The following is a 25,019-nucleotide window of genomic DNA, read 5'->3' on the forward strand; positions in this document are numbered from 1 at the left end:
TTTACTATTTATATTATTGAAATCAGTACATGACTTTCAGTCTCTTTTTCCCTCCCTTTTCTTTGACTGTTATTTTATGCATGACAAAATTCTCTTGCTTACTGCTATGTGATTGGCTGTCTTTTAACTTGAGTGTCGTGTGTTTGTAATGATTGCTTTTTGCATGAGGATTATTAAATGTCATGCAAATTAAATGGTTGTGGAAACAAAAAAAGAATGTGAGACTTCACTTGCTTTTTTATGTGCTGAGTATGTCAATTATGTGACACTTAAAATTACTTTCATATGCCCTTTGACGTCCCCTTTGGTGTGCTCCTTTATTCTTGCAAATTAGCATTGTTAAGTATAATAAAACACTTATTAAGCATTCACAGTGTTTTAATACAATTATTCTCCTCAAACATGATCCTATTATAAATAACTATACTGAGCATGAAACTGCACTAAGGCATAATTCCATTATATTACTAAATTGATTATGAAATATAAGCCCTGACTCGGTAACTACCTTAATAGCTAAACACTGACTTCTACTGATCGAACTTTTGCTCTGCTGAGTGATGAGACTATTTAGTGATACATTTGTGCAGGATGCAAATGTCTTAAATCCACAAGTAATATTTAAATGAAAACACATGGGGAAATATTTGTGTAATGACAAGTAATTTTAAAAAGTCACAGTTTTGAAAAATGTATGGATTAAAAATATGTGAAAACCAAATGTTAATGTTCTTAAAAAAAAGAAGAAAATAGAAAAAGAGCAACTTAAGATATTCATATCTCTGTCTTCTCTAAGGTTATTATATTGTCTCAAATTAAAGAATGAATTTGACCTACTTTTTTAATGTTGCCACCAATTTAAATTAGAAAAGACACTGAATAAATTAAGTTCTTTCAGCTAATAAAACTGTTTACTTTTTTGTATGCAATGGGTATTTTTTTTTTTTTTTTTAAAAGTCTTTGCTCATGACTTGATTTTCAAGCCATAATGTATTTTTTATGCTGGATATATTTACAACCCAAATCTTCTATGAGATATTTTTGGGAAAGGGTTTTTTTTTCTTAAACAAAAATAGGTAGTCAATTATGATGTGACCACTTCCCCACTCTTTTTGGAAATATCCTTGAGAATTTTAGTATTTATATTTATTTTTTCCCCTCAGTCTTGTTTATTCTTGAATTGTCTTTTTTTTTTTTCCTCCATTTCTCCGTTCTCAATCCTAGGTCCCCTTACAAAGAAACAGACAGATGATTTAGGTGATAATGACGGTGCTGAAGATGAAGGTATTTTTTTTCACCAAATCTATTTGCATGACAAGGGCCTCAATCACTTTTTCCACCCCTTTCTATTTTTTTACTTCTTGTCTTTTTTTGAAGAGTTGTTTTTAATTCCTGTTTTTGATGTGTTTTGTCTTCTTGCTTGTTGTTACATACAAATATAGAGTATTAATTTTTTTAAAAAATTAATATTAAGTTTTACATTTTGATGCCAACCATTAAAATGTTTTAAAAAGAGGGGCATTTTTTTTTTGTTTTCTTGAACTGACTTTTGATATGTTTCATCCCACATTTTGACTGAATTTTGTCCACCTTCTTTGAACTAACAATCTCTCCCTTGTAGTCTCTCTGTGCCCATTTTGCATGTTTTCTAATCTATGTAAATATTTTCCCGAATATTAAAATGTGCTTCATTTTTACATTCGACATTTGTTTTAAAAAAACACACACACCCAATAAAATGAAGGACAAGCTGAAAGCTAATATAAAGTGTTTCTTGAGCAATATATTTTAATGTAAAAAATACTGTTTTCTGTTTATTTGCTTAAATGTCACATAAATGCAATTAAATTGTATACATAAGAAAAGGCATTACAACTATTTAGAAAACTGTAGTAAACATTGTACAACCATTTAAGTATTCTGGACTCCTGTAGTACTTTTGATAGAGTCTGTAGCTATTTTCTTAGACAAGATTCAATGAATATTCTTAATTTCAAGGAGACATGATTTCCAGATTGTCAAATAAAATATTCTGATTTTCAAACATTGCAACTATAAGCAATAGAATATTTTCTACTTCATTAATATCCAAATTGTTTCTCCTTACAACTTTCATTTGACATACAATTCTGATTTACTCTGTAAACCTATGAACTCACTACCTAGATTGACTTGACATTTCTGATTTCACTGTACCTTTACATGGTGTTAAAGTGAGCTCATCTTTTTTGGTTCCAATCAGGATTAAAGTTTATGCTTTTTGTTTGTTCATTTTGTTATGTTTTGTAATCCCAGGTTTCAGAGTAAGTGCCAGAAATCTAGAAATTAAATCTCATAACGAAAATAATAATGTGGTTAGAAAAGTTTTCCAAAATAAAATAATCTACAACAAGGACAGCAAAAGTTTTGTTCCATGAGTTACAAGGGAACTATGGGTAAATAAATTTTTACTAAAATATTTGCCTTATTTGCATTGACATATATACATTTAATAAACTCCTTCACAACAGATAATTAAATTACAGAGGTGGAGTATTGAGAACTTAAAAATTATATTTGGTGTTAATATTTTTGAAACACTTAAGAATTATTTTGATTAAATAAAATGTATGACATTTGATTAAATATTTATTTACCACGAACACCAGCAGTGGATTAAAGATTAAACACAAAGCAGTCATTAATATTTGAAACAAATCATTATCGCTGTCCAAGAGTTATTCTGAATGTTAAATAGCTAAAAATAAACTTATACTATCAAGATGCAAATTCTGATATTTTAAACACTATTTGAAATTTGATGCATTCAAACATTCAGGATATTTTGTGACATTGTAGAACATTAATTACTGTTTCCAAAACTATAAGAAGACTACTTCCACTTTCAGGCTTTGGGACTTTTTGAACCCCTTGAAAATCCTTAACTCCTAGAATTTGTTATCTAAATAATACTGAAAGCATACAGGACTTCTTCATGTGTATCTTTGTAAAGGCCAAATTTTCCCCATTTAGGCAAAGGGTTAAAATACATTATTTTCCTATTTTAAAAATATTTTGATTGCTTATTTAATGTGATTTTTTTTTTCCTTTTGTTAAAACAGCTTCAAGTAAGGCATTTACCTATTTAGAGTAGGTAAGTCTGAGCGATCATAGCTAGGCCATGTAAACCTGAATCTATTTTATAGACATGTTTTGAAGCACATTTAACATTTTTAAATAGCCATTTAAAATATCCTAAAACCCTATTAAAATGTCAGGTAGTATTCAGGTTAAGTACTAAGCCATTCAGTCACAAGAGTTATTGAATCAATAAATATTTTTAAATACTCAAAAGCGTAGAATGTCAAAACAGTCAATTCCAGTTCGGTCTCTTCCTCTGTGTTGTTTCAGATAATTGTTTTGAATACAAGAAAGATGAATTCAGATATCCTACAGGGGAAAAGAAACCTTTTATAGAAATTTCAGAGCATTTTTAACTCAATTCTTTTTATCATTATTTTGTAGATGTGACTGTGAATAAAAATTGTGATCAATATTGAATTTGTTCCAAATGTTGACTCGACATCACTGGACATAAGGCAACAAATATGAAGGACTTGATAAGTAACTTCATTTACATCAGTCAGAAGTCAGGTCATCAGATCACTTATGTGAAATTCCCCACCCAGTTCCCCTCCACCTATGCTTCATTTCAGGTCCCAGTCTCAGCCACTGAATTGCAAGGCCACTGGCCATATTCCTGGGTATACAAAAAGATATACAAAAGAATGTATATCTTTTTTTTTTTTTTTGACAGAATTTCCTTTTGTCATGGAGACTGGAGGGCAGTGGCGTGATCTTGGCTCACTGCAACCTCCGCCCTCGTGTTCAAGCAAGCAATTCTCCTGCCACAGCCTCCCAAGTAGCTGGGATTATAGGCGCCTGCCACCATGCCCAGCTAATTTTTTGCTTTTAGTAGAGACATGGTTCATCATGTTGGCCAGGCTGGTCTCGAACTCCTGACTTCAGGTGATCCACCTGCCTCAGCCTCCCACAGTGCTGGGGTTACAGGCGTGAGCCACCAGGCCTGGCAGAATTGTATATCTTTAAGACAATTCCATAGTTAAAAACAAGACTAATCTGAAGTGACAAAAATGGTTCAAAGTAACATCCCAGATTTCTACCAACTTATTTTAAAAATTTAAGAAGTATTTTAAAAATTTAAGAAGTATTTTTAAAAATTTTAATGGTGCTAATAATGCCTTCATATTAACATTTCAATATTTACCCTGGGTGTGGTGGCTCCACACCCTGTAATCCCAGCACTCTGGGAGGCCGAGGTGGGCAGATCACTTGAAATCAGGAGTAGGAGACAAGACTGTCCAACGTGGTGAAACTAAAAATAAAAAAATGAGCCCAGCATGGTGGCGAGCACCTATAATCTCAGGTACTCCGGAGGCTGAGGCATGAGAATTGCTTAAATCTGGGAGGTGGAGATTGCAATGAGCCCAGATTGCACCACTGCACCCCAGCCTGGGCCGCAGAATGAGATTCTGTCAAACAAAAAAAATTAAATGCAATTTTATATACTATATAGTTCAAGACAATTTTTTGTAGATTTTGAATATTTTTAAGCTAAAAAGGTGTGTTTAATTCTGTTATGTCCAGTTTAACAAGCAGAAATTCAGCCAACACTTCTATGTTCATTCAGTGGTTCTGAATGATAACTTGAGGTTCATAAAAATGACTGGAGGCACAAAAGTCTGCCTTGAAATGTGTTTTTTTATAATAGAGAAAGATTTAATTGAGGCAATACTTCACAATTTTAAAACTGTTAATTCTAAAAACTCTAAAATATGGGCAATTAAATACTTCATGAGTCCTTTAAGACAAAAAAAATCAGTAAACATATTTAATGATTATATCACTAATAATTATTCACTAAGATCATTAATGGAAGTTGTAATTTCAAACTCTGGTTGTCAGGTACAAATAAATCCCCATTAACTGCTCTAGATCTATTGACACTTGCTACATTGGCTTAAAATTTTGGTCTATAAGAAAGATAAAATAGGTACTAAAATTTTAAATCAAGGTGTTTACTCAGACTCCAATTTTTTTTTTTAACTTGAAGAACTTGATTTAAATGCTTGTGTTTAGTAAGGCTTAAAACCATTGCAAATAATGGAAATTATAAACATGCCTGACAAACATTTGTACTTTTACTGGAACTGAGTTAGTATTTTAAAATTTCTGAGTGTGTTCTTGTGATTTTAGTAAAGTCAGTAGATGCTGTTTAGGCAAAGTAAAAAATCTTAAGTGAAAATTCATAGTTCACAAATTCCACTATATTTATAGGTGGTTAAATATGTAAAGGTTTAAAGAGACAACTTGGCTCTAAAAAATTAATTATAAATTAATAAGCTGCATTTGATATATTTGCACAGAAGATAAATGCCCCCTTCAACATTATTATTAAAATGATGGAATTAGCAGATGGTATTCAATGGTAGGCTATCTGATATATTAGTTTTATTTATAAAGAGTCTGGTTCTTTCTAAAAACAAATAAATAGTTGTAATTGAGAGCCTTTAGATTGCTATTTACATCAAAAAAAAAAAAAAACCCTATAAACTAAGCATAAAAGTTAAGCCTAAGATAGAAATTTGTAATAAAACATTATACAAAGTAAAGCCTGGCCAGGCATGGTGGCTCACACCTGTAATCCCAGCACTTTGGGAGGCCGAGGAGGGCAGATCACCTGAGGTCAGGAGTTCAAGACCAGTCTGGCCAACATAGTGAAACCCCATCTCCACTAAAAATGCAAAATTAGCCAGACATGGTAGTAGGCGCCTGTAATCCCAACTACTCGGGAGGCTGAGACAGGAGAATAGCTTGAACACTGGAGGTGGAGGTTGCAATGAGTTGAGATCACGCCACTGCACTCCAGCCTGGGTGACGAGAGTGAAACTCAGTCTCAAAAATAAAAATTAAATTAAAATAAAGCCTAAGGTGGACCACTCTGACAATGCACTATTAAAGGCTTCCATTTTTTTCCTGTAACAGAAAATATCCAAAGTTTCTACAGTTTCTCAAACTTTGTTAACAATATTAAGGTTTGTTATGTCCAAGAATTTTACCTGTTTTAGTAAGTATCATAATTACTTTTGCACCAGCCTAATAATACTTTTTATAACCTAAATCTCAGGGTTACTTAAAATGAAAAATATTTTTCAGAACACAGCATAAGAATACTAGAGAACTTTATGGAAAAGAACTGCTCAATATCTTAAGTTATTAGGCAAGGCTGAAATTTGAAAAGTTTGAAAAGGCAAATTAAAAATTAAGATTAACCCAGACTATCAGTAATCCTTTTAAGTCTAATTTTCAAAGAAAAATAAAGAGATACCACTCAAAATAGCTCCTAGAATCTATTGTCATATTTTCAGTGTTTTCTGACAATGTCCACTTAATTCTGTTATTAAATATAAAACGTGGCAGGTCTTCTCAATGTGTGCCTGTATTGTTGTATTGTTTTCCAGGTGAACAGAATGGTTCTACCAAGATTTCATTACTGTTCACAGTTGGTGCTTTGTAATTCTATGTAATTTTAATTAAAGAAGAATTCTGAAACAGCCTCCCTCTGTGCTACCTCCAAGCATACAATTAGCCGAGTACAGTGTCTGCTGTGAACAGTCAGTTAATGATTTCAGTTTAATAATTTATTATTGCTTTTTCAGTGCCAGCCACACTAGAAAAATAAGAAGCTGAAACTGTATGTAGCAAACAGGCATTTAAGGTGCACAGTTTAACAATCTCAAAAGGATTGCTTTCTCTGTGTAAGTCTAACATCTCCACAAGCCCCCAGATCTTTATAAATGAATGAATACTATTTTTTTCTCCCAAGGTTTCAAGGAGAAAATAAATTCAGATTTTCCTCTTAAATGTGTCTGTGTTTAGTGAATGGTTCCTATGTCAAAGTATCCTTCCCTCACTACTTAAAAACAAGATATTATTCTCAAATATACCTTTGGGGAATTAGAGGGGTACTAGTAACTTTATACACTGGTATTAAGTCAAATTTAAATAGTCTTTTAAAAAAGTTTGTTAAGTTCTGCAATGAGCCATTTCCCCAACTCGAAAATCTGGGCAAACAAGCTGAGCTGCAATCCTTGACCTAAAATGATTCTTCATTTGAAGATATCACTTTATTATTACGCTAGAGAAATCAAGGCATTTACATTACACATTCTATTTTTTTACAAAAAATGCAAAGCAATCTCTAAGTAATCACTAGTTCTTTCAATAAATTTGTATTCTGTTAGTCCATTCTGAAAACTGGCACCTCGATTATAAGGATGTTGGAGAGTTAAAAGTGATAAAAAATTTTGAAAGCAAAGGAACAAAAACATACTATTAAATTATACGTTTTAATATTGGCATAAAAAAAGATAATACATTTGATGTAATTTTGTTTCAATTGTGGGTATAAGAGATCATGGGCTATTACATAATAGTAATGTTTTCTTTATGTATATATTCAGAGCCATATATATGCATACATATAGTAGTTCAAATATTTCAATCTATATAATACGTAGATAGAACTATGTTTGCTGATATACACAGTTAGGCTTATCTACAGAAATCAGTGCATTTTTCATACTGATTAAAATTATGTTATGTTTATTTATATATTATTTCTAGATCCTTGTTGAAAATTACAGAATTCAGGAAAAGTATGAGAAGAGCAAATATATTTAATAAAATTCAGAGCTGTAGAAATCACTTGAACCCTAAATCTTGACACTTTACACTTGAACTTAGCTCTATCCCATCCCATGTCTACATGATAAAACATAGAGCCAAAGCGTGAAGAAGAAGAGTATATTAGCCACACAAAGAAAGTGAAAAAATATTTGTCTGTTCTCTTCTTCCAAAGGGTAAGGAGAGCTGGATATAGTGGATGTCCTGAATTTCCTAAAAAATATCATTCTAATGACATTTCCCTAAATGCAACAAGAGGAGCACAGATGTACATGACTTTCGTGCCTAAACATTCATCTGACATTACTTAGGTAGTAAACTGAAACATCTTGCATAACACAATACTGTAATTATGTTCACAAATTGGAGCATAAATGAGTTGATGTAATCATGTTGCATTTGACACAAAGTTTTACAGTACATAAGAAAGGTTAAACAGATTCTTTTGTTCACAACAGCAATAATACCATTGTCTTTAGTTTATGGCTCATAATGTCATGTGAAGTCTATCATATTTTTAAAAAGTAGTCCTAAGAATCATTGCCATTCTGTTTCTTTTGCGTTTACTGTCACTTGAGGAATTAATCAAAATGCACTAAAATTCACATCTAATTTTAATTTGTCTAAGTTTTATAAGTCAGTTTGCAACTTGTAAACAAAATTTTGATAGAAAACAATGGATGCCTATTGCTATTTCCACAATAGCTATTCATATGAGTTGCTTAAGAAACACTTTAATAAAAACAGCAGTTTAAGAACTATATTGAAATTATGCCCTCTTTTCACTAAGATGGAAAATGTATTCTCTGCTTCATTGTGTGTTATTTTTGAGGATAAGAACGATTGCCAACCATTTGTTTTCCAGATATTCGGGACAGTGGGGGTCCCAAACCAGTGATGGTGTATATCCATGGTGGCTCATATATGGAAGGTACTGGAAATTTATATGATGGAAGTGTCTTGGCAAGTTATGGCAATGTGATCGTCATCACAGTCAACTATCGACTTGGAGTACTCGGTAAGAAGAGTCTCTCTTTTGTTTTCACCATGAATCCATGAAGTATGTGATGGTTTTGTTTTGACTTGTTTTGTTCTGCTTTGCTTTGTTTCACCCATTTTTTTATGCGTGTTGACATTCTCGAGCCCAAATTTTTTATAGTTTCAATGAATTCTATAGGTTGGTTTTAAGATGTGAAACTAAAAGGTGATGAAATTATTCACATTGTCATGGAATGTACTTCCTGGTTTATAAACTATGAAAGACAAAATGGCAGGGCCTTATTGAAGAAGAGTACATCTTTGAACAAATATTTCCTTCTTCTGCTTTTCTGTTTACAATACTCTAAGTTTCCCTGAGGTTTGGCGTGAGCTAAGACTAAGTTTACATTCTCTTCTGGAGTATGTATATGGACTCGCTTTTGGGAATGATTGTTTGCCATTGTGATGGAGGTTTCTTTGGTTTGTTGTTGTTATTTTGGTTCCATAATAATTAGTAATATTTTTCTGAATGTATTCTGATTGAATTATTTAATTTGAAAAAACATGCATTGATTTTATAAAGTAACAAAGAATTCAGTTCAATGATGTATACTCTTGCCAAAAGAATGATAAATACAAAGTGGAGATTTTTAGCTTTGATAAAAAGTATAGAGACATATTACTTATAAAATAACTTAGGTATTCTGAGATAGGCATGTTATCTTATACAATAACCAGTTTTTAAAAGATAAACTTGCTATTCTAGCATATATTTGTTTGTTATAGTATTACCACAATTTGAGGAGTAAAATTACTGTATGATTTAGTAAAACATCTTTATCTGTGATGTATTTAATTAACAGAATTTGCTAAAAGAGCACAATGCATCCACAAAATACTTAACTTTTTAATCTTAATTGTCCTCCAAGTCTTATCCCATACTATAGACTTGAAGAAGCGTAAATTATAATTTTGTTTATACACAAAGAAGCGCCTCACTCTTTCATTCTATTATCTAAAAGATTCTGAAAAAGGAATTTGTATTATATTCCTTCCTTGGTAGTATCATATCTTTTATCCACGTTGAGAATCAGAATTTTTCCCCTTCAGTGTTATTGTAACTCCTATGTAATCATAATTCTGTGTTTATGCTTATCACAAAATATTTTAAAAGGTAGAATAATTTTTGTGAATCAAGTTTATAGTCTGGGGGAAGGAGACATTTTACCAATGTGAAGGTTAAGTCTCAGTCATTTTCTAGTTTGCTTTTTTGAAATTTGGAGTGTGGTGAATGACCATAGATGCACTGCGTAAGTGTAGGTATAAAATATTCTGTAGCACTGATCGAATACACATGAGTTCCTCCATAGTGTCTAATCATCCATTGCTTCAAACATTCATATGATTTCTGTGGGCTGGGATGAGTGTCTTTCCACCAGTGAAAACTCTGTGTATTTAAGACATATAAATAATTGCTCATAATAATTCTTGAATCTTAAACCTTGAATTCTTAAATCTTAATGTTGTCATTTGTTTCCTATGGAACATTTTCATTGGAAGGAGGGTTTTTAATATTTTCATGCATTGAATCTTAATGGTAGTATTGTTGAGAGCTCAGTTGTTTTTGCTGATTATTATTCTTATATTTTTCTAATTTTTAAGTTGAAAATCCTGAGCAGTGGCCAGTTTGCCAGATGAAACTTTAAATTGAAATGCTAAATTATGGTAACAGTGTTTTTAAGGACTTGAACATCCAGTTATTCATATTTATCTATTTTATTTAAGAAATGCTTTGGCCACAAGTTTTTTTGCCTCTTTCTGTTATTGGTTCTGTTTATATAAAGCAAGATTTCATAACATAAACTTTGTTGTTATGTTAACAAAAACTTTACCCATTCTTTTTCTTTTTATGTGTTCAGAACTGATGAGGACTTGACTTTGACCTGATTTTAATCCTATATTCATGCCCATACCCCATTTTAAATGCCGCACTGTGAGGATTGGATTGCAAGGCAATGGATTAACTCGCTAAAATATAAAGCACTCAGTCAATCACTTGGTTTAGATAGTAGCAGAGAGCAGACAGTATTGATATTATCAAAGTATGATTTCCCAGTGTTAAATATTTGTTCTGGCTCTACTGTACCCTAGAATATAACATTTAGTTGTCTCCTCTCCTTTATTTCTCTTAAACACATTATACACTGATAACAAGCCAAAGGCTGTCCTTGATAGGCCTCCTCTCAACGTGACAAAACATAAACTCTGTGAAACATTGTTTAGGTAGACTTTAAGACATTGGTTCTCGAACAGAGGTATTCTGGTCACTTTTTTCCAAAAATATGTGTTGGGTATTGTGAAAATGTATTTAAATAAATTAATTCATAAAAAAGAAATTATCAGAACATTTGTTTCAGCATACTTTGCATGAGTGCCGCACCACAGCAAGATCAACAGCTCATCGGACAGAACTGCAACAATAAAGACTGTAGACTTTTGAGATTGATGTTGTGAATAGTTTGTCTAACAGTAAAAAGGTAAGCCAAGGTTTCTTGGGTGTGGGATCCAAGACTATGGCTGTCTAATTTGCACTTGAGTGATTAAGTAGGAAATAAGATATGATCCCACATCCGAGGAAATCCTGAGCTGTGTTTTCACTGGGGTATTTTGGTGTGAAAGAAATAGATTTGGGGGTCCAATGGACAAACTGGGTAATTACAAGATCATTGATTTGAGGCGACTGGTTGGAACAATCAGGATGTCTGGAACAGGTAGTGCAATCTGTGTTGATTTGAACTTGCCATGTGGAGGTGGTGGGGAATCTTACAAGTTTTGTTTTTTGCTCTTTGATTTTAGTGATGAATAGAGATGTGATAATGTTTTAATTAGAAAATTCGTACAGCTATCTAGCTGCCAATTTTTCAGTTTAAAGATCTCATGTTAAAAAAAATTTGTTTATTACAAAGTAGGAATAGAATAGAAGAAAAAAATACCTCTACCATTCCTCAGAAGAAGCTAGTAACAGGTCAGAATTAGTTCTTCTACCGACACCCTTTAGTGGTTTCCTTTCCAGTGGTAACACAGAATATCACTCTTACTGTGTGGTGTATGATTTTCCCCCACCCTGGAAATGCTATTGGAAGTGATAGGAAAAACTGCCAATAAGATTGACAAAGAGGGAAGGGAATGCAGGACTCTGCCTACTAACCTCACTCCCCAGTTTCATGTTAGAGCTCCTGGCGACCTCCTGCCATTTAGTTTCACACTTCTTATACACTAAATATTTAACTTTTCTTTCACTTTTGACTTTACACATTCTTTGTCCTCAGCCAGTTTTGACATAAACTTTCCATATTTGCTTTCTTCAGCATCTATTATTTGATATATTGTTACATAGTCCTTATATATGTTTAAAATTATTGTTAGTAGGGTATTTTTTAAACATTCTATTGTATGGTTTATAATCATCTTAGAAATGTAGGGAGAAATGGCCAGGTGTGATGGCTCACACCTGTAATCCCAGCACCTTGGGAGGCCAAGGTGGGTGGATGGCCTGAGGCCAGGAGTTCAAGACCAGCCTGGCCAACATGGTGAAACCCTGTCTCTAGTAAAAATGCAAAAATCAGCTTGGCGTGGTGGTGGGTGCCTGTAATCACAGCTACTCGGGAGCCTGAGGCAGGAGAAGCATCACTTGAACCTGGGAGGCAGAGGTTGCAGTGAGCTGAGATTGCGCCATTACACTCTAGCCTGGGTGACAAGAGTGAACTCCGTCTCAAAAAAAAAAAAAAAAAAAGGAAGAAAAGAAGAGAAAAGAAATGCAGGGATAAATACTTGATGTGTTCTTAAAGGGGGGAAATAATCAAACTTAAATGTTCTGATTGTAACTAGGGTAAACATGTTCTTATGGACAAGAATTATAGAATATATAAGATAAGAATTGAAAGAGAATATAAAATAAGTCACTATTAGATGAGATGTCCACAAAACATTTTTTAAAATAGAAATTATTTAAGTGATATTGACAAATGTCAAACATGAAAAACATGTTAAGTAATTTATCATTAAAATGTTCCAACCACTTATTTAAATTCAGAATAAATCTTTAAATTACTTTTGGAGTAAAAGAAAAATTTTAATACCCCTGTGAGGATCTTACTTGGGCAAACGAGATTTTAATCTGGTGGAAATTTAATCAGTTACCTTTATCTTGACATAAATATCTTGGAGGCAATTATGCAATTCATAATTCTAGCACATGTGATTTATTTTAGAAAAAAAGTTTAAATATTTTAGAAGTACTGATATCTATCTGGACATTTGGCACATTTTTGGAAAAGGATCTAATTAAATATTTTACTTGGTAATTGAATATTTACACCACCCGTCCATGGAAAAAAATAATTTAAAGTGCTAGCTCACCTACTTATATTTAAACAATTAGATTTAGCTTACTTTATAATTCTATGTGGGGCTAAATTGTTTAAAACAAGCTTTTGTTAACTTCACTGCATATACATTTAATGAACACCTTAATTTATTTTTATTCTATTAGATATGGTTAATGAAATTTTTTGATTCTTAAAATTAGACTATCTATGCCATAATAATGCTTCAAGTATTATTAGATAAATGGCAACAATAAGTATAACTTTAGGCCAGGCGTGGTGGTGCATGCCTGTAATCTCAGCACTTTGGGAGGCTGAGGCAATAGGATCACTTGAGCCCAGGAGTTCAAGACAAGTCTGGGCAAAATGGTGAGATTGTGTCTCTACAAAAAATTTTCAAAAAATTAGCCAGGTGTGGTGGCACATGCTTGTATTCCGGGCTACCCAGGAGGCTGAGGCGGAAGGATCAGTTGCGTCTGTGATCCTACAACTGCACTCCAGCCTGGGTGACAGAGTGAGATCTTGTCTTAAAAAGGTTGTGTGTATATACACGCACACACATACTATATATGTGTGTGCGTGTATATATATATATGTGTGTGTATATATATATGTATTTTTATATATATATATATAAAACTTTGGTGTGGTCAGTCATCAAATCAGTAACACTTGTTTTCAGCATTATACACCTTTTCTGAGGGATAAAAGTGAGGACAGTATAGTTTTTATCTTTAAAAAAGAGCTTTCACTATAGTTGAGGAGAAAAACAGTAGAGAATAATAATTGATATTCTACTTTATATTTATAATATATTGATTTATTAATTGATCTATATGAATAGATTCACTTGATATATAAAAGGAAAACAGAACGAGAGAAAAGTAAGGAAAGGTAGAATATCTGATGGATTAGTAAGGATATAGTAATTGATATTTATATTTGAAACTGATTGGCCTAGGATCAAGGAAATTTGCTAAAGCCTGTGCATTGATCATGATTTAAAGAGCAAAGCATATTAATTCCTCAAGTGGTACAATGTTTTGTCATTGTTACTCCTGTTTATTGAATTGTTTTTGTTTCTGTCTGACTCTTTCAAAGAACCCCCAAAAAACAAAAGTCTCATACTCCAAAACAAATAAACAAAAAACTTCAAGTGGGATCATATATTTAAGAGTAATATTTAAACAAATGTTAAATTTTATGCGATTGTAATATTCTACAACACATCCAAATGCGTTCTTGAGATGTAGAAAGAAAAAGAGTCAGTGTGTCTATAGAGTCCAGACTGTTTTCATGGAAATGGTGGTACCGGAGGAAGGCCACAAAGAGTGGAGTATCCTTGGTATTAATTGAAGGAAAGGGAGAAAGACAGTCTTTATTTCTATTTTCATTTATTCATACTAATTTGAAAAAGTGGAAGTAATTTGTGACAATGCACACAAATAAATAGATTGGTAAAATCATATTTGAATAGTAATACAGAGAAAAGGATACAGAAAGTTAGGTCATGAATATGTACAACAGTTGAACACAGATGCATTTCCTAGTTTTCTAGAAGCACAGTAAAATATAATGGATTTAATTTCATAATTATCATAATCACAAAAAGGAAACAAACATATTCACCAGAAAAAAATACGCAAATAATAGTTTCTCTTACATTGTACTACAGAAGAATTTATCATATGGGTTGTATTTCTTCTATTTGAAACGTGACAATACAGGAATTGTGTGATAGTCTTCGTGTCATTATAAGATGCAAAAATATTCTCAGTATATGATTATTTATAGTAACCTTCTGTAAAAACCAAAGACATAATAAAGGCAGCTGGGGAACAAAAGCGGCGAGGCCGAGGGCTAGGCCTGTGTCCTCCCACGGACGACCGTGACTTCCCAGCAGCCCCTGAGCTGGGCCCGCAGGGTTCGTGGGGTCTGTGGCTTTCACCCAGGGTGCGTGTCTCGCCCACAGGGGCACCCCATAGTGTCATAACTTCATAAGTGCTCATAACTTCTATAATATCATTTTAGCAAAGAGCTAACCAAAGGCAATCTGGGTAAGATATTTGGTGATTTCACTTATAATAGGATAGAGCTAAAATACAATTTAGAGCAATGGATGGTTTATTTGATCCATAGATTTCTTCTCTCAAATATGTTATGTCAACTGGGTTTTAATAAGGGCTAGATGGTAATCAATTTTAGATTGAGTACTAAAATGAGCTCCTGGAATAGAGAAACTATTTGTCCTGTGGCGACAGGTGCAGGGGACAACTTTAGATAGGTAATGATATTTTGCAAAGTTGACTGCTCATTATTTTTATTCCCTTACTCCCTCCAAAATGGTTTCAAGTGGCCCGCAGTAAAAGCAACTATTTATTTATTCCCAAAACAGAAACAATCTGAAAGTAAGTGTGTCAATTATTGTGGATGTTAGTTAAAAGAAGTAAAATGGTGTGTGTTAGGTAATTCATTCATGTATTCGTTCAGCCATTTATTCCCTTATTCTCTATAAATTGAGCAATATTATGTATGTCATTCTCTTAGCTATTAAGTATATTGTGAAAAATAAGATATATGTGAACCTTGCTATCAGTAGATTGTTAGCTTTAGGGAAGGTAGAAAATAAATAATTAAACAAATCATATAGTTTACATAGATAACGATTGAATGCAAAGTTAATTTTCTTAGCAATTACCTATATAAATTCTAGAGAAATAGTGCAATGAGAAGGGAGCTACTTTATTTTAGAAACACAGAGCAGTTTCCCTGAGGAGGTAACATTCAAGTTTCCATTTCTTTTTTTCTTTTCTTTTCTTTTCTCTTCTCTTTTCTTTTCTTTCCTTTCCCTTTCTTTTCCCTTTCTTTCTTTTTCTTTCTCTCCTTCCTTCTTTCCTTCGTTCCTTCTTTCCTTCCTTCCTTCCTGCCTTCCTTCATTCCTTCCTTTTTCTTTTTTTTTTTTAAGATGGAGTCTCCCTCTGTCACCCAGGCTGGAGTGCAGTGGCTCACTGCAACCTCCGCCTCCCAGGTTCAAGCAATTCTCCTGACTCAGCCTCCCAAGTAGGTACTACAGGCGCCTGCCACCACACCCGGCTAATTTTTTGTATTTTTAGTAGAGATGGGGCTTCACCGTGTTAGCAAGGATGGTCTCAATCTCCTGACCTCGTGATCTGCAGGCCTCAGCCTCCCAAAGTGCTGGGATTACAGGCATGAGCCACCGCACCCAGCCCCATTTCTTATACTCTACTGAGAAAACCCTTGTCAAGATTCCCAAAGACCTCTAGATTGCCAACTTCATTAGTCACTTCTCTGTTTTTATCTTGTATGATCACTTCCTAGCACAGGACACAGTTAACCATTCCTTTTTTGGCCTGCTTGTTTCGTGGTATCACCCAGGATTTTCCTCCTACCTCCCTGACTGCTTCGTCTCAGTCTCCTTTGCTGACTCCTACTCTCCTACCCTGACCTCTAAATGTTGTGCAATTAAGCATAATCCTTGGCTCTCTATCCTTCTCTCTCTATGATACGCCTTAAAGAACCCTGTGCATTACCAAATGCCATCTCTATGGAAGTGACTTTTCAAAACCATGTCTTCAAGACTAACCCTTCCTCAGAACTCCAGCCTTTCATATACTTCTGTGTACCAACCCTTCCATGTAGATGTTTAATGAATATCTTAAACTTAACATGGCTGAAATATGTTGAATTTCTCAGGCCTCCTTTTCTTATTGACTTCTACAACTAAGTTATAATATTATTATGTCATTCTTTTAGTTATTAAGGATATTGTGAAAATCCTTAAATTATATTATAATAATTAATTATAATAGTTAATTAAATATATTTACAAAATTATAAATATAATATAGTCAGTAATGAAATACTGTAATTATATATTTAAATTTTTAATAATAGTTATAATTAAATCTATATCTAATTATAATTGTCAAATACTATAATTATAATTATTATAAGATTATAGCCTAGTTGTAGAAGTCAATAATAACCTAATAATCATTGCAACAAGAGCAATAGTAATGGTGGCCACATTCATTGAAGACTTATATTCCAAAATTTGTTTTAAGCAATTTACATAGATTGCATTATTACATTCTCACAACTCTATGAGGTAGCATTGTTAGTTTCCAGATTTCATAAATGCAGAAACAAGTGAGTAGAGAGGCTAACTAATGTATTTACAGTCACACAGGCTAAATAGCATTCAGTGGTGGAACCAGGATTCTAACCTCTCTTAAAGCAACACTGTACTGATGTCATTGCCTTATCCATCTGGATGATCAAGTAAAAACTCTTTATTTTCCTAGGTTTTCTAAAACGCTAGATTTAAATCAGCGAAATTATCTTTTAAAAACCTGCATTATAACAGCTCACTTCTCTGCTTAACCCACTCTAGTGGCTTTCCATTATTCATGTAGCATAAAATTCAAACTTCATCCCTGCCTTGTCTGGCAAAAGCCCTCATGAAGTGGTCCTGGCCTGCATTTCTTAGCTCATCTCAAAACACTCTTCCTCTCTGTTCCAGTGGTCATTTATACTTCATAGACATCAAACTTTCTCCCATTTTAGGCATTATATGCCTGGTGTTTCCTCTACCCCAGATCTTTGTGGGGCCAGTTCTTTATCATTCTGATTTGGTTTAAATGTCATCTTCTCAGGGAGATCATCCATGTTCATCCAATCTAACAAGAGCCATCACTTCGTGCCATCTCCCTTTTAAAATTGTCTGCATTACTGCATTACAGTTATCATCCCTGATTATCTTCTGTTTATATTGGTATTGTTCATTTTGTTATTGTCTAGCTCCACAAAGCCCAAAATAGTTTCTGGCAAAGGATATTTTATCAGAAAATATTTGTTAATGAATTTAAACTGGATCTCAAGGGTCAATAGGTGTTGATCAGATGTGGTCATAAAGCGGAGAAGGCAGAGCTGTGGGCAGAAAAGAGGGTCTGGGTGAAAACCAGAGGAAGGAAACGGTTTTGCATGCTAACAGAGCTCAGCAAACTCAGCTGGAATGCTCAGTGTTAAATAAGGTTAAAAACATAGGCAGCAGGCTGTGCAGCACCTTGTTAAAGATTTAGGATTTCTATGAACAATCAGAAACAGTTATAAGACACTGAGCAGGTAAGTGACATGATTAGATCTGCATTTAAAAAATGTTTTGGTAGGCCTAGACCTTGATCAAAGTTGACATTCTGCTGTGGATACAAAAAGCACGGCTAATACCTCGTTAAAGTGAGACGGTTGGTAGTCAATGGATGAGGCAGATATTTTGCTCATAGAAGATTGAGGGACCTGCTGAGGCTGGACTCACTCAGGTAAGTATAAGAATCTATTTTTTACACAAAGAGCAACACAGATTTTGGCAGTTTTTCTTCCTTTATTTTGATAATGGAGTCAATCAAACCAGCATTGTGAAGAGTTCTTCTGAATGCCTGCTTTGAAGGAGTGAGAATCAATATGAGTTATATTTCAGAGACTGGCAAATATGAGAGATTATAATATAGTAATCTATAATATAGTAATCATGTAATCATGATGCCTCCTTATTTCTTAATGTTTCTATGGTATTAATATGGCTTCATTTAAGTTTTGAGTTGTCCTAAAAAGGATATCTTATTATTTTTAATTATTGTCTTAATAGTCTTTGGGCAAATTCTGGGAGGAATTTGAGAAAATGTGGTTTGTGATTTTCTCAAGTTGTTAAGATCAGTGATTTGGAATAAGACTACAGAACATAGTATCAAAATTTCCCTCATTGCTAGTTAAAGCATTCTTCTAGGACTAGAATTCAACAACCATTTCCAGGTATTGATAGGACTACAACTAACTAAACAATAAACAAAAATATATTTAGCTTTCTTTCAGAGCAGAAGTCATCCTTTTAACTCATTCATTCATTTATTCTTTCATTAATTCCACAAATATTTATTAAGCAGCCACTATAGCCTTCTAATTATTGGTGTTTACAATGTTAAAAAAGTCAGCCTCAATCCTTCCTCTCTGGACCTCAGAGTGAGTGAGAAAAAATGACATTAAACAAATGAACAAAACATTGAATGACATTAAACAAATAAACAAAACATTAATACAAATTTTGATAAGTTGTATTTCCAAAAGAACGATGTGCTACAAAAATGAATTTTTTTGAAATGTAGACTGAGGGTTTCAGCACAGTTTTATGAGTTTTTCCTGCATGCATTTACAAAATTAAATATTTTGTAAGACAGATAAAATATTTTGAAATAATTTTAAAGCTGTAAAATAATTAGAAGCAGAACAAATCGTTTAAAAAAGCAACTGTGGAAAAATGCAAAATCCAGACAAACAAACAGACCACCCACAACCAACCAGGCAAAGTTCTCTATCTGAATTAAATGAGCAAAACTGGTTTGTAAAATAGAAAATACACAGGGAAAATATCCCAGGAGAGTGACTAGCCCTTAGGTAGATATTTGATCTGTGGAATGGACGGGTAACCTTGGAACTTTGCAGAGAAAATAAAACGTTCTCTTCTTCACCTGCCTATAACTCTGAGAAAAGTCATGAAGTGTAATAAATTAGCTGCATTACTGACTTTTTAACAACAAAGATATGGGTCTTTTCTTCAGCCAGGGTCAGTTTTTTCTCTCTGTTACAAAAAGACAATGAGGGCTTGGATTTTGCTTTTTAATTTTGTTCTGCCTTTGAATAGTTCTTTTTTTTTTTTTTTTCCAGTAAGGAACTAAGGGAGTACTCCCTTACTTTCCCATGACCTGGTGTCATGATCTTTGATGTTCTGCCCACTTTTACTGATTTGCCTTTAAAATATAGTGCAATTTCATATGCCAAGACATCTTGTTTATTCTTTCTAAAATCCTTTAGAAAGGGATTTCTAAAGTCTTTCCTTGAACTACTTACTCTGTAAACATATGGATACTGCTCCTTTTCCTTTGTCTTTTTAGTTTTAATTTGCAGAGTTCATTTTTTAAATCAGCTTATGTTAGTTTTCTTCTTTCTATTCCCATTGCTACTACCTACTCACCTTGGGTTACCAAGTGGGTTTTTGGCTGACCCCTCATCCTCTAGACCTAAATTCATATGCCAATTGCATCCCACACCACAACCAGGCAAATTACTTTAATCCAAGAGCACCAGTTTTCTTTAGCTTTTCCTCTGCTCCACATCTCTAAACGGTTCTCACTGACTCTCGGATCCATTCCACAGTTTTCCTGTCATTCCAGATCTGCTGAATTACTTTGCTCTTCTTCTTGTCAAACTTTACCTTCTATTGGTTTCTGAGGAAGCCTTTTCAGGCAGGCCATGCTAGACTCCTCACTGCCTAGGACGATCCTTTCCAACAGCTGACCTGCCACAAATACCCATCTTTCTCAATCGTTGTAGCTCTATTATCTTTCTCCCTTCAATTCTTTGGGCTTCATTCATCCCTCTCTTCTCTCTGCTTCCGTGGCATAAGCAGCTTAGTCTCTACTTTGGTATGCATAATACCAATCCTACTTGTTATGGTTATGTATATTAACTGCTTAATATGGTAGATGACTCACCACCCAAATTAAAAAATATCTGGTTTTCCAATTTTATTAAGACAACAGACTGCTCTGCATACGTAATCAAAAGTCATCAATAAATATAGAAATGAATTCACTGTGTGCCCTTCTCAGGATATGCATTTCTAGGAATACAGAGCAGGTAGAAAGAGTGGCTGGTGGTATGGAATGTGGGTAATAAATTGTATTAACCATGTGCTTGCACAGGCTTCCTTTCAAGTCCCAAATACATGAGGTGAGGCCTTATCCTGGCTAACACGGTGAAACCCCGTCTCTACTGAAAAATTAGCTGGGCGTGGTGGCTGCGCCTGTAGTCCCAGCTACTCGGTAGGCTGAGGCAGGAGAATGGCGCGAACCCGGGAGGCGGAGCTTGCAGTGAGCGGAGATGGCGCCACTGCACTCCAGCCTGGGAGAGAGAGCGAGATTCAGTCTCGAAAAAAAAAAAAAAAAAAAAAAAACGAGAAAGAGTAGCAATCCTTTACCTCAATACCAGTGGCAAGAAAGTCTCCTGGATTTTCTAGAGAAGTATTCCTTGTTCTGAGACTATAATGCATGAAAGCTGCAATTTATTTTAAATTGAAAATAGCTATTTCTACATTTCCCATATTATTTGCATTCTTCTGGTTCCTGCTCAGCATGAGGTAAGTGAAAGCGTTGGTGCTCATAAGCATTAGATAAACATGAAAATAGTGTTGAAATGCTACTTTTTGAATTAAAATGCAGTAATCCCCCCTTATCCACAAGGGATATGTTTCAAAACGCTCAGTGACTCTCTATAACTGTGGATAGTACAGAACCTTAAGTAAACTACTTCTCTATGCATATGTACCTATGATAAAGTTTAATTTATAAATTAGGCACAGTACTTTATTAACAAAAATAATAATAAAACAGAGCAATTAAAACAATATACTGAAATAACAGTTATGTAAATCTAGTCTTTGTCTGAAAATATCCTACTCTACTGTAAGATATTTACCTATTTTCGGACCATGGTTGACCAGAGGTAACCGGAGAGTAAAACTGTGAGTGAGGGAAGACTGCTGTACATACGATATTGCAGAAGGATAACTATTCACTTTATATAGATAATAGGCTTTGGAACCTGTAACTTTTTGAGGCTCAGCTTAATGTTGTTCATTTGTAAAGATAAGAAATAAAAGGAAATTGTTTGTAGTTTAACTTTGCCTTTTGATACTTCATCTATCTTGAATTGAATTACAGGTGCACAACCATTATCACAAATAGAGATTTGGGTGCAATCTTAAACCAATCCCTGATTACCCTCACACCCACTCATCTTTTATAACAGTGTAGTCAGGACCATAGATTTAATTATATTCTAAAATTTTTCCCCAAATATGGAACAAATGACATTTCTCGACTGATTTATGTATTGGTAATTTCACCATTTACAAACCTTTTTAAGAGGTGAGGCATATCCCTGAGATGAAACATATCTAAGAGAAATACTAATTTCTGTTCTAGTATTTGCTAGCTTCTTGCATCTGAGCTTTGAAAAAAGCCATCTTTACTGGAGAAGTCAGTTCTCTCAGAGAATATGCAACATGCTCAAACAGAAGTAAGTTATTAAAAACATTCTTTGTGGTAATATCACCATAATTAGGAGCAATTTTCTGACAGGAATAAGAGATGAGTTTATTCCTATGTTATTTAATTATGCTAGAATTCTTTATGTTTTTGACTTTGTATGAAAATAAGCTTTAAGAAATACTCTTTATTCTTTTTTAATACAAATAAAACAATTGCTTCAGTAGATAGTGTTTTTCCTTAAAATATACCACAATTTTATCTGCTTTAAGTAACAAGAAATTGGGATTTTAGTGAATATATTTGGCTCTTCTGTTTTAGTATCAATCTGTACTATTTACTAAAGCAATTTATAGTCTACAATTCATATTTGGATTTATTTTTTGGAAGAACATGTTTACAGAGACCACAGATCAGACATATATAACTTTTTCCCTGATTCCAAGTTGATCTGCATCTATATGAGAAAAATCTACATAGTCCCTTAGCGATATTTTACTATAATTCATACAATCTTGTTATTTAGGAAAGTAATTAAATAAATAATTCATTTACCTATTTTTACCCTTCCTTGTGCTAGAAAGTATTTGTGAGAGCATATACAATAACATTATGTTGAGATATACATAATAAATCAGGTTTAGGGAAAACAGAAGACTTGAAAAGGCAAATAATTCTCAAAATATTTTCCAAGTTGATGAATTGAAACTCTGCCAGGTTTTATTCATTTTTTAATATCAGAAGGTTGTGAAACATGACAAGTCTTCAGAGAAATCAAAGTTATTCTAGGCACTAAGCTCTGCAAAAGAAATTTCTCCTGTGGGACTTTATATGTTGGGGACAGTTAACAAAAACAGAATTCTATGATAAAAATGCTTTTAAATAGAAATAAGCCAAAACTGTGTAGTTTAATTTTATTTACGATCCGTACTTCCATGTACTCTGTTTAGTTGTAACCATCTACTCCATGCATTAGCTTTTCTCTACCTATTCAGAGTCAGCATCCAAGTGGAACTGCTCGGGGATTCCAATGGCCAAAAGACCCAGCAGGGGTGATTAATAAGTAATAATGATTTCTGTGTATGTGGGTATTCCATAGGTAAATGTTCTAATTGAATATTGTTTTGCATGAGAAAACTACTGATTATAGGTTGAACATTTCTAATCCAAAAATCTAATATCTGAAATGCTCGAAAATCTGAGTGTTTAAAATTACCTTCTGGCTATGTGTATAAGGTGTATATGATACAAATTTTGTCTTTAGAATTAGATCCTTATTATGTATATGCAAATATTCCAAAATCCAAAGAAATCTGACATTTAAAACAATTCTGATCCCCAAGCATTCTGGCTAACTGTTACTCAAGCTATATTTCACTTTTCTGATCCGTTAATATAGGAAATCTGAATCAATGGGTTTGAATAAAAAAGAGCTTCTCTGTGGCTTGCCAAGTTCATCAGCTATCTTTAAGAAGGAGAGATAATTGACTTATTTTTCTTTTTTAAAATGATACCATATAATTAAGAAAGCCAAATTTTTGTTTTCTCTTATTCTCTTAAAAAAGATCTACTTGCTATATTGTCCCTTTTTTTCTTTTTTTGTACAATGCTTCTGTTACAGTCTTTATATAATAGTTTTTAAAAACCTGCTATTTTTTGGAAATAGAATTAAAATTGAGTAACTTCAATTTAATACCATGTCAGTTAATTCTCTAAGACTGTTCTATATGACTCAAGTGGCATACAGTAGATGTCAGTGGAAATTCCTAGTTGCATCAAGATCAACAAATCCCAATTAAAGATATTCGCATATAATTTTTAAGTGTACCTATATATACAACTTCTATAGATTAAAAATTGGTCTATTAGTCTAAACTTGAATCTGTCATAAGTTGTGAGTCTGTTCTTTTAAATGTTTCTTATATAAATCTCTCTATCCACCACCTACTACTTTTGGATCGGTGCTGTCTAACAGAAATATACTGCAATACACATACATAATTTGAAATTTTACAGTAACCATGTTAGAGAAAAGTAAGAAAAAATAGATAAAATTAGTTTTAAATCTTTATTTCGTTCAAACTAATATATCCAAAATATTATCATTTCTAAATGAAGTCAACATAAATTTATTACCAGGGTACTCTGAATTTTTTATTCTTTGAAATATGCTATGTACTTTATATTGTACTTACAAAACATCTCAATTCACATGCTAAATCTTCAACAGCACATGTAGTAGTCCCACTAAACAATACAGTTGTGCATAACAGAAAACACTGTTTGGCGCTGCTTCATTTAAAAAAAATTAAATCAACTAAAATTAAATAAAGTAAAAAAATGCAGTAACACAGTAACATGAGCCACATTTCAAGTACTCAATAGTCACATGTGGCTATTGGTTACCAGGTCAGACAACACACAGTTCTACATTGTTGTAAATAAAGTTTTTAATTATACACACCTGTTGGGAGAAATATTTGCAACAAGAACCCTCAATTCATGGAAGTATTTATAAATTATATACATGTACATGATATGAATATATTATGTATGCTATAAAATAATAGAAATTTTGAAGATTAATGAGTATTTTAAAATAATGTTATTTTCTTGTTAATTTAAAAAAAAAAAACAAATCTTTTTTAATGCTCTGTGTTAGGAAAACACTTCGTTATTTTTAAGATATTCCTTTTACATTTTGTTTTCCAGAGGTTTGGAAGAGTGTTTCTAAGATCAGTTTAATGTTTGGTTTTAATGGCTGTTACAGCTGAAAGAGATGATTCACAAA

At 33.2% G+C, this 25,019-nt stretch overlaps 1 protein-coding gene across 33 annotated transcripts in view, besides 2 other annotated features; it reads left to right on the top strand.

Annotated features, from left to right (window-relative positions):
• The window catches only part of NLGN1 (neuroligin 1), an 898,421-nt gene that overhangs the window by 403,117 nt on the left and 470,285 nt on the right, over nucleotides 1–25,019 (top strand). For 22 of the 33 annotated variants that reach the window (NM_001365924.2, NM_001365930.2, NM_001365936.2 and 19 more), the window contains one exon: nucleotides 8,612–8,764. In NM_001365924.2, the coding sequence (NP_001352853.1) occupies nucleotides 8,612–8,764 (153 nt within the window). Of the gene's footprint in view, nucleotides 1–1,224; nucleotides 1,285–8,611; nucleotides 8,765–25,019 lie in introns of all 33 variants that reach the window. The other 11 variants (XM_017005893.2, XM_047447706.1, NM_001365923.2 and 8 more) reach the window with 1 other exon arrangement.
• Nucleotides 6,322–6,823: an enhancer, noted in NCBI's record as "NANOG hESC enhancer chr3:173523180-173523681 (GRCh37/hg19 assembly coordinates)". NCBI's record gives its function as "activates a minimal SCP1, AML or CMV promoter by ChIP-STARR-seq in naive H9 embryonic stem cells {active_cell/tissue: H9 hESC(naive)}" and the evidence as "EXISTENCE:reporter gene assay evidence [ECO:0000049][PMID:30033119]".
• Nucleotides 20,751–21,045: a silencer, noted in NCBI's record as "tiled region #253; HepG2 Repressive non-DNase unmatched - State 24:Quies". NCBI's record gives its function as "represses a minimal TATA promoter and a strong SV40 promoter by Sharpr-MPRA in HepG2 cells {active_cell/tissue: HepG2}" and the evidence as "EXISTENCE:reporter gene assay evidence [ECO:0000049][PMID:27701403]".

The sequence above is a fragment of the Homo sapiens genome, chromosome 3 (assembly GCF_000001405.40).
Source record: "Homo sapiens chromosome 3, GRCh38.p14 Primary Assembly".
Lineage (NCBI taxonomy): Eukaryota > Metazoa > Chordata > Mammalia > Primates > Hominidae > Homo > Homo sapiens.